The sequence below is a fragment of the Homo sapiens genome, chromosome 4 (assembly GCF_000001405.40).
Source record: "Homo sapiens chromosome 4, GRCh38.p14 Primary Assembly".
Taxonomy (NCBI): domain Eukaryota; kingdom Metazoa; phylum Chordata; class Mammalia; order Primates; family Hominidae; genus Homo; species Homo sapiens.
The window spans coordinates 180,205,800-180,217,307 of record NC_000004.12 but is presented as its reverse complement, the minus strand read 5'-3'; positions in this window follow the sequence as shown (position 1 = coordinate 180,217,307).

The following is an 11,508-nucleotide window of genomic DNA, read 5'->3' as shown; positions in this document are numbered from 1 at the left end:
TTTAAAGCTAGAGGGAACTTTACCCACTTCCTCTTATGTACAGATCTGAATATGGAGGTCAAGAGGGAAAGTGGCACGTCCTAAGTCAGAGTAGAGTCAACAAAAAAATAAGATAAACAATGACCCAGTCCCTGGTGTGTAGTGAGCATTAGCTAGATACAAGGGATATGGAGATGAAGAAAACAGAGTCCTTTCTTCAGGCAGCTCAATCTAGCAAGGTAGACAGACTTTTTGCAAGTAGGACCAGGCTTCCCTGCAGCAGAAGGAAACATGAAATCACGGTCATGAGCCTCACCTGGGATGGGCCACCATGTTGCCTTGAGAGGATCATGTGTGGACTCAGGACCATGGCGTGGCCCTGCTTTGACTCTCTAGCTCTGCTTTAGGGCCTGGTAGGATCTGGAGTGGCTTGAGCTAGGGGCTGCCATGAGCTCTTTCCACTTCCCCAAGGCATTGCATAAGTAATATCACTTTCTATTTGCACAGCAAAATCAGGGACACAGTTTTCTGGAACACAGGATACCTTCCCTATCCCCAGCAGATGGATGGTCTACCTTGTTGGTGGGCCATTTCTTGTGTTGGAGACGGAACACTCTGCAGAGTTCCCAGTGGTCAGCTGTGGCCCACACGCCACTGGCAAGGAGAGGCAGAGCTGCAGAGCTCTCGGGAGCCACGGAGGGCCTGCTTCCCACCACGAAATGCCTTCTGAGCTGCTGCTGGCCCACATGTGGGTGACAGTGCTAGTGATGTAGAGAATCCTGGGACTAATGCCTGCAAACTATGGATATCCTGGGTGATACGGTCGTGCACTGTTGTGGCGGCCTTTATAGTCAGGAGACGACATGCGGTGAGAAGAAGGGAAGAGCCAGCCCAAAGGGAGTCGGCCCAGGGTGAGATCATCAAGGCCAGAGTCAAGATTCAGCCAGCACCCCAGGGTGGTGGTGGCCTCATATTGCCCATGCCGCAGGCCAGTCCTCGATCACTCCAAACCCTCTACTCAAGGGTTCTCAAGGAAATAAGCAAGTCTTCCCATCAGGACTTCGGGGTGCCTCTGAAAAAAGCACAAAAACACAAATCTCCTGAACTTCCCCGAGTGACTGAACAAAGCGGGTCCCGCATGTTTCACAGCACGAGGGAGAAGATCTTCAGGGGCAAACTGCGGAGGATCTGAAGGACAGCACGGACTGTCAGCCACCTGCAGAGCTGCCCCACCAAGAAATTGTGAGATGAAAGCAACGTTTGCCAGAAAAAAGGCGAAGAAGGAAAGGCAGGAGCAGGCCAAGACTGGAATTAAGCAGACCACGAATGTTGAAGTGAGGTGATTGACCTCCCCGGGCCACACCCCGCCGAGCATCCTGCATCTGCTTGAGGGTGGGAGATCATGTGAGGATGGTAACTCGGCAGTGGAGGGGAACAGGGAAGCGGGACATGGTGGTTCCCCAGTGTCCTGGCCACAAGACCCTCCAAAGAGTGTGGATGATGATGGTGACTTAGATGTGTCCCTCGAATGTCCTGAGGGGGAGACTGAAGAAGCAGACATGCAGTTGTGAAAAGAAATCCAAAGGAGGAAAGAAGTCACAGCACAAGTCCAAAGTCTGACTGGACCAGCAGGGCTCTCTGCAGGGTGCAAGGACACAGCTGGAGAAGGAGCTCCTGAAGCTGCAGCTGAGGATCCCACTCCACCTGCACTGCACCAAGAACCCACAATGGGGCCTCAGCAGGAGTCCACGGAGGAGGACGCCCACTGCCTGCACCTCAACCAGAGACTTTTCAAGGTGCAAAAAAATTTGAAACGTGTGTGTTACACCCGCAACTACTACAAGAAAATGGCGCAGAACCACTACAAGAAGACCTGGCCCAGGAATTGAAGGAAGACGCTTCCAATTTTCATAGGGAGATCTTCTTCCATGAGAAAATGGCCCAGGAAGGCTGGATGGCCACAATGTCCACCAAGAGAGTGCTCCAGGTGCTCCAGAAAGAAAATGACCACAACACGCAGAAGCCAGATGACTGAGTTCCAAGTTCTAGCCTTTCCTGAGTGGCCCTTTGGATTCTGGGGTTTGACCCACAGCCCACAGGGGCCCAGAACCCCACAGGGGGTTCATGGGCCGCTAGGGCCACCAGGAGGGAAGCTGGTCACGGTGTGGGTATGAGGGCTTCTCTCCAGACCACCTGCCGGTTTGGCTTTGCTTTCCTTGTAGCCAGGTCCTGAATGTCCATGGACTCTACAGAACATCAGCTGGTTCTGCTCCCTTTAAAACACTTTCAGTTGATCTGTTGTTAGTTTAGCTACTGTTAGTTGATGCTAAAATTGCTCTTATTGAAGTTTGATTGATAGGACTAGGATTGTAAGGTATTATTTTTCAAATAAATATCTTTAAATGTTAAAAAATATAAAAATAAAATAAACTGAAAGGGCAAAAAAAGAGACAGATTTGCACAACTGATTTCTCCTTTAATTTTGTAAATTATTTTAAGGAGTAAGCATTATTAATCCGATTTTATGGTCTGCCACTGTGACAAAGGATCCTCAGGAAGTAGCAGAGCTAGAATGTGAACCCACATCTGACTTTTTCTTCTGCCCCTCCACGCCCAGCCCCAAGGGATGAATATAAAAGCAGGTTTTAAGAAGGAGCTGGTCGTTCGTGGAACCCTACTACAAAATTATTCAAAGTGAAGTTTCAAGACGTAAGGTGTAAGTGTAAGGAAGTAGAGGTAGTGAGTGTAATCTGAGAAGTTAGCCCTTAAAGGCAGGGATATCCTTGTGGGAGCAAGATAACTTCGGAAAAATTTTGAATTTGTGTTTCTTTAGTGTTGAGAAATACTTAGTATTTTTGTAAGCAGAGGCAAAGAAGCTGGTGATGACAGATTGCATATGTGAACAAAAGCAGTAATGACTGATGCACTTCTGTGCCTCATATTAGTTGGCATTGTTCTAAGAAAGTGCTTTAAGGAGTGACAAAAATATTTAACTGTTGTCTATTATGAGAACTATAGTTAGAGGGGCTATTTGTGTGATACATCAACCTGCATTTCTGGAATCATCAACAGGGAGATGAATAAAACTCAAGCACATAGTATGATGAATGTAGCAATACTTCTTAAAACCAAGAAGGTGTACCAGAAATACAATGTTATGTAAGAAATACCATCAACTGTATAACTACAGGATAAAGGAATGTTAATACATTTGAAGATATCAGGTAAAATAGTTACAGTATGAAGAAGCTATTTACTCTCATCAAAACTAAATAGTCCATAGGTGTGAAAATGGATCTGAGTCTTGGGACTGAGAGGAGGTGAGACAGGTTTTGTTTGAAGTAAGCTTCAGGAGCTGGAAAAGGGGAGGGTGGATCTAATGTGCTGGGCTAGTCAACTGAGGTAAGTCAGAAAAAAACCTGATTTCAGGGTTTCCTATTGCATCCTTATTTCTCTTTCTTATAGTATTTATGTCACCACCCTTTAGTTTTTAATTTACTTCTCTGTTCCCCTCTAAAGACTATAAATACTCTGCAAGTAGATATAATGGCATATATGTCTTTATATTTTTAGTGTTCCTTACAAGTCCTGAAATATAATTAGCAGTAACTGTTTGCTTTATTATAGGAAAGGTCCTATGGGTAACTAGATCTAATAAGACAGAACAAGTAAAGTGAAAGTTTGAAAAAAATGGCAGGGGAACACTGGTTCTTTTTCTCTAAACAACAACCTTGTTTATTATTGAACTACTAAATAGCCTCGAGCAGATGGAAGTGGATCTCTATTGCAGTTATGACATTGGAGGATAGGGTAGTGAGTAGGTGGGGGCACATTATGGGGGAATCCTTCAGAACTTAGCAGGATATAGAGAGCCCTTGATCTCTCTGTGGGTTTTCTAATCAAATATACAGATATTTGTGAATATAAACCCCCACACAGATACACACACACACACACACACACACATAGAGTTGCTGACCCCAGTTTCTTTTACTAACTGAAAATATTAATTAATCATTTCACAATCTGAGATGGGAGAGGCCTGTGCAGCTGCCGTATTCGATCCACATCACATGGCCTATGCGTTCAGCGTTGTCTGCCTTCCTTGCCTACCTTGACAAAGATACTTAAACAAGGACAGGTAATTGGCCAATTAGCTATCCAGTGATACATCCTTCATGTTCTATAAGAGAGAAAGTTCGTTAACTAATCCATGGTATGAAAAGGCCTTCAAGGGCTCTTTGATTCAGGACTGACCAAGCAGCAGCAGCAGAATAAAAGAGGAGACAGAGAGAATCAAAGAAACTGGAAACCATGTGGGTTGGGCCCTGAGAGATGGAGAGAGCACTGCTAGTTCCCAGTAGCACCTCCTCCAGTTTCCAAGAGACCTTTCCATTGTTCATATCCTGTGACACCCCATGATACTGCCTGTTGCCTAGTGTTTCCTTAAAGTTAAGCATCTTCTACTTGGGTTAGGTTTAGAGATTTTTTTGTTTGTTTGTTTCATAAAACAAATGATGGTGGAATAAAGTAGGCAAAAATTTCATGTCTTGCATAACATTTAGTAAATAGATTTCAGAAAAATAGGAAGTTGCAACATTTCATTTGGAAAGTTACAAGTCTTTTCTGACAGAGACCAGGAGGTCCTGCAAACAGCAAAACAAAGGTAAGAGTGAGGGTGAGGACAGCCATGCAATGGGAGAAGAAGAGGGCTTAGAAAATATATAGACATGAAACAAGAGACCAAAAGCATTTTATAAAGAAAAAAATATTTTGTAGATTGAAGAGTTTTGGCAACAATAAATCTTATTTACCTTCAGCAAGGATTGGGGAAACAGAAGTTGCTCATCATATTGCATTCTCAGGATGTCTGCAAATAAGGGTAGCTGCTTTACCTGATTTACGCAGAAACCTGACTCATATTTTTAGCAAAGTTATCATCTCATAAAATCATTCCACTCCCCAAATTATTAATCCTTTCTGGCATCACTCCTGTTAGTATACAGTGGATATCTCGCATCATTTCTCCTCCTAATGGCACCTTACATTTTTTGGGGGGGTTGGTGATCACTGCCCTGTGTGTAGCCTTGACATAAAAGCTATTTCTGGAACGCCTTTCCACTACGGAAGGCATGGGGGCTAGAGCCTTCTTTTGCTGTGGCATGTGTGTGTAACCTCAATTAGGCCACGAATGAGCTAAGGATATTTGCTGTAAGGTACACGGTGATTGTTGAGACAGTAGTGGCAATGACTGGGATATTTCAGTTTTCCAGAAAGTGTTATATACCCAGGCACCTGGGTTTCATCCTTGCATTCCACCATTCCTAAATTTGTTCATAAGCCCACCAATACCCTTTCATTCAATTATAGTTTTATTAGGTAGGCCCAACTTCACTTCCTTTTGTTACCACACACATACAACAGCATCTATAATTTTACTGGATTCTTTGAACCTTTTCACTCTTATTTTTTTTCTATCAAGAATCTTTGGAGAGATGTGTCATATCAGTTTTAGAAATGGACTTACTAATTTAAAGGACACTGTTATCTAAATCGCAGCGCACAATATCCTACAAGGTATGAGTATGACCTAGCCATAGTTTTCTTCCCTTTTTAATGGATTTACTTGGGTTTGTTGCTATTGAATTGTTTGAGTTCCTTGTATATTCTAGATATCTGTCTTTTTTCAGATGAGTATTTTACAGATATCTTCTCTCATTCTGTAGGTTTTCTCCTCACTCAGTTGATTATTTCCTTTGATGTGCAGAGGCTTTTTAATTGAATACAATCCCATTTGTCTATTTTTGTCTTTATTGACTTATGCTTTTGAAATCTTAACCATAAAATATTTGCCTAGATCAACATTCTGAAACATTGCCTCTATGTTTTCTTCTAGTAGTTTCATAGAAAAACTTTTATGTCTTAACTCTACTTTCAAGGAATAATCTTTTGGAAACAAGTTGCTTAAGAGTTTTATTCTGTACTACAAACAAACAAAAAAAAGGACATCTAACGCTTTTAGGAAATTTATGGATATCACATGGGGATGCAGACAAAGCCCGTGTGACCACAGAGGCAGGAACTGGAGCACCACAACTGTAAGCCAAGAGCAACAAGGCTTGCTGGCCGCCATCAGAGTTAGGAAGAAACAAAGAACGCTTCTCCCTTAGAGTTTCAGAGAGAGCATGGTCCTGCCAACACCTTGATTTTGACCTTCTAGGCTCAAGAACCATGAAACAAATTTCTGTTTTTTAAGCCACCAGTTTGGGATGCTTTGTTGTGGCAAACCTAGGAAACTAATTCATGCACATCTCCAAACTGAAATATTTTCTACATTCATTATGCTATTTCTTGTAATGTTTGTTCCCATCCACCCATCACTAGCAAAACATAGTCAGAAATTAGTCTCATTCTATCCCTTTGGAATAGCCTCTTCAACAAGTTAATTCACCATTCGAATAATCTTCTTAGTTTTAAGTCTTCAGGGCAAAGAAAAGAATGATTAAATATTTTTGTATTGTTAACTAACTATTGTATGGATTTCATTCTATCTCCATGAGCATATTGGTTTCTCACTAATAGCATAATCCTTTCAGATTACTTAATAAACTCATCAGGCATTCTATACAAAGAGAGTTAACCCTATTAGACAAACATCCCCAGAGAAAAAGTACTAGCTATGTACCTCAACTAAAATTTTAAGTCTCTTACCTCTGATATAAGATCCTAATCATTTTTTAAAATTGTGAACTTGTCACTGCTTAAGCATCTAGATACAAAGCCTATCCTATAAACACCAGACTCTATTTTCTGAGATATTTCCAGATTTATTAGTCTACCACCTCAGCCTACAAAAGGCTTATTCAAATATCAACTTCTGTAAATGACAGTCAAGTGTAAGAAAATAAATTGGTATGATATAGATGAGTTAATTCCTAACTTAAGATACATTTATACATTGCTTTTGTTGAATCTCAGTCCACTTTCCAATAAAACACAGTAATCTTCCACTAAATACATAAGAATCAAAGTAGTCAATTTAATTCAACTTTTATCAAGCACCTCCTAAGAACTGCAAAGCACTATTATAGACAGTGGCGACATCACACTGAATAGTGTCCCTGCCCTTGAGAAGTTCACAGCCTAGAAGTAAAGCCTGAGAACATGAGTTCAGAACTGAATTGCAGTCTCTACTCCGGGGTTCCTTGAGCCTGGACTGCAGCATGAATAGGGCCATTGAACGGTGTATCACTGTGGCCCAGAAAACAGGATCCAGTTCATTCAAGTCTGCCTCTCAGTGATCACGAGCAAGTTAAGTTACTGTAAGCTAGTGTTCTTATTTTTGCAAAAGTAAAATAATACCCTTCCTTGCAGGGTCTGTGTGACCCTGGCAGGGAAAGCTTTGCAATATAGGCACACAGTAGCTAGGCAATAAGTGACACCCAAGGGAGAAGAACAATCTCCAAACATAGTGAGTACTGAAAGTGTCAGCTAATATAGAAGGATTTAGATGGTATTTGAGAGCAAGTTCTAGGATATGCTATAGAAATCACACACTCTAGGTACTGGTGATGGTTGTAAACCAAGCATGATTCATTTTGTTGAAGATCTAGGAAAGTCAGCTATTGACTGCCTCTTCACAAAAAGACATAGTTAAAATATAAAATGAAGCTCTTGAAAAAAATCTTAGTATTATGCACTAATTTGGTTTATCTATTGTAGGGTTAACTCTATTACAGCATTTCCCAAAGTATAGTTCATGGAAATTAAAATGTGTTACTTTAAAAAGAATTATCAAAGTCAAGTTAAGTTTGGAAAGCACTGGGTTCAACAAATTACAATAGATTTTAGTGGCACAAGCCTTCTGAGACTCTTAAAACCAGGAAGGAAAAATATTGTTTACTAAGCATGTATGACCTAAGGGTGCTGTTTCTTGGCAGGGAGCCACAGGTTTTCAGGGGGCATACCACAATTCCTGCCAGTCTTTTCTTTCCTAGCACTCCCCACCAAGGCTGCACAGAACTTGCTTTGGGAAATGCTATTATATCCATATGAAACCTTGATGGTTGCCTAGGAAACAAGGCAAATATATGACTAAGATAATTCTAATCAAATCATATTTTGCACTAAAATATTGCCCAGACCATCACAGTTTTATTTTACATGTCACACAGTTAATATATTTTTACAATTAGTAATCCATTCTGATTGTCTTAATAATCATGATTTAAGTCATCCTATGATTGCCTATGACTCAGTTGTCTTTTGCTTGGCTCATGGCGAGGCATTAATCCATGAGTTAAATAAAAATTAACTATTTACCATATGATTATCAAAGGATATCACAAGGAGTTTTACTCTATATTCTGCATTTGAAATTATTTGAGTCTATCAGCTGACATAACAACGAAAGTATCAGTTTATTCCATTTTATCAGGAATAACCCTTGCCAAAACTGTGATGGAGACAAGGCTTTGATTTGGGCACTTTTAGCAAAATCAGATTTCCAGCACTTCTCCAGTTCCCTAGCATACTAAACTTTGAATTCCAAGGAGGGATACAGTATATCTTCCAAGTCACAACCACTCATATTAATGGCAGCCAATCACTACTAGTGACATATTTTGTTGACATCAGTTTTCTACATTTAAGGGCTTTCAAATTCTTAAGAAAAAAAATATATATCACCTCTGCTGAATTTGCTTGCATCATTTAGCGAATGTGTAAGGATTTGTGGAAACACTGAGTATTTCTAGTATCTCTGATATCACATCATATGAAAAAACAGATTTTCTTTTGTAATTTAAGTCTAGTCCTGAACTAAATAAAAATTAATTTTAGAAAATTTATCCCTAACTAATATAATATATACACATATGTAACGTTTAGTCTATCTATATATCATATGATATACATATTTAAATAACTGTATAATACCATAAGTAGATATTAACTTTATAATTATGATAATATAAATGTATGTAGGATGTTTCATTTCTTATCTCATAGTTTGATATTTCGCTATGTCTTTTTTTTTGGTGGATTTGTCAAGCTGAGTGTAGGAAGATTTGCTTCCCACACATAATAATCATGTGGTCACATTATTGTTTTATTAGTTTTAAATGACTTGGCTTTATTTTTCAGCTTATTTTTCTAACACAGTCTGTAAACAGAACAGTAACTGGCACATCATCAGTAGGGCTTTTCTTTATTTATCTCTAGTTTGAAGTTGTCTTTCTAAAAAACTGAAGGTATCTTCACTATTACATGTTTACACTATTACATATCACAATCTTTCCTCTTTAAACAAACCTAAATGTCAAACAATGCTTGTTGTTTGGAAAGAGAAGGCATTTTTCAGTGTCTAAGGTTAAGAATGTTAATTATCACCCATGGAGACACCAGTATACAGAGAAATGCAGAATTGAGCTGCTCCAAAGAGCAATATATTGCAGAGATAAGTACATACTAAAGAAAAGCAAAATTTCACAGTAGTTTTAACTTAGTTTGCATAGGTCTAATACCAAGATACCTTTCTAGATGTGTAGTTTTCCTTTAGAAACAACATTTCAGGAAACTAATAAGGATTAAACTAAATACCAAGAAGTGGACATATGCAGATTGCTCCATTGTTCCTTATTCTTTCCACTAACTGAACAAACTTGTTTTACTCTGTTTACATTAAGTTATTGACTGTCTGAATCAGGACTACTTAATTATATACAAAAATTACAATAAAATATTATTAGCTGTGGAATTTTAGTTGAATTGTTAGTTAAATTATTCATTCTATCTGTGTCATATTTTCCTCAAGTAGATGCATTGAAAGTAATTACTTCCTTGGGCTATGTCATAATGACACTCAGTACATGATAGCTTCTACTTGTGGAAATGTTTCAAGAGTCTTTTTTTTCAGAAACCATGCTATAGTGAGTATATCTGTATGAAAATGACCAGAGTGATCTAAGAATAATTGTATTGTCATATTTAATACTAGAAATAATCTATTTCAGACAGCATACTGCCTGTGGTTGTATAATAAATTTAATTCCATTGAATTATTTTAAAATATGTTCTCCATTCTCAACATAAATAAATATTATATAAATATTATTTCATTAAATAAGTAGATAAAAAACTAAATTGCTCTTTCTAAAGCACAGCTTACTCTATATAACTTAAAGGTGCATCTTAATTAAATCAGAAAGTAAATATGTCTATTGGTGACACATGGTTTTTAGCATACTTTTTATGTTTTCCAACAATCAGTATTTAATTTGTGGTTTGTCATTTCTCTGATAATGTATTTTAATAATTGATAACTAGTCTCTTTTACGCTGAGGAATCTTTCAAATAAATGAGTTCTCCGAATCCTTCCAATTAGATGTCATAATGCTAGATAACAGATATACTATATATATATATATATATATATATCTCCATGTATTTATACTAATACACAAATATTTTGTAAATATAAAGACATTTTCATATGAATGCTAAGTAATGACATAAAAATGACATTTGCATAAGAATATATGAAACACTGCTTATTGATTCCCTTAATTTGAATACACACTTAAAATTTGATTAAGAAGTTTGTATAAAAAAATGCCTGGTTGAAAGTACAGATTCACTTGATGCAATTAAATGAATATATTCACAGTCTCATAAAAAGCAATCGTTGGTTTAACTTACCCCAAACTAAGGGCATGTTTTGTTAAAAGTATTTAACTATGATTAGCAATATATGCCTGGATATCACCTTTCCATTGAGTTGGCTTGTAAAATCTTTCTTAAAATGACAAAAAAGGCAACTATGTTTTCTCTTCTTGTGAGAGACTGTCAATATCCCACTTATGCTAATGAAATAAAATATAATTTTCAGTGCTAGCTTCTTAAAACCAAGTTTTCTTCCAGCTATTTTAGTATTTCTGCAAGTATTAAACATGCATTTTTTTTTTGACTCAAAGCCATTAAGATGAACGCTTTAGCAAATCAAGTATGTGAGAATTTATAAAGCTCAATTCACAGTTAATACAAAATCTCAATAATAAATTCTATGTATTCACAGAACACAGCTACATTACATAATCTTAGAGCTTCAACTTTTGGCCAGATTGGATTCCTGGACTAATAAAATGGGTAATATAACTAAATAAATGTTAGCAGATATTTACGTAATTTTATAAAGAAATACAAGCACATGTTGGTTGATGCACATCAACATTATTTTATATATGTATGTATGCATATATTTATCTACATATGGGTACATTCATTATATTCTCTCTAATTTGACATTCTTGATTATTTTCTAAGTAAATACTTCGTTTTTGCTTAACTTTTCTAAACTTAAATATGGTAATTTTAACTCAGAAGCAAGCAATTATTTTAAAAGGTTAATGTACAAGAAAATGGCAATAAGTATTTTATAAGAAGTAACTTAATAAAGCATTTTCAACTGTGACAACTGGGAGGTTACATTCGTACGACCACATGTGGCCTGCCATTCAGTTTTCATTCACC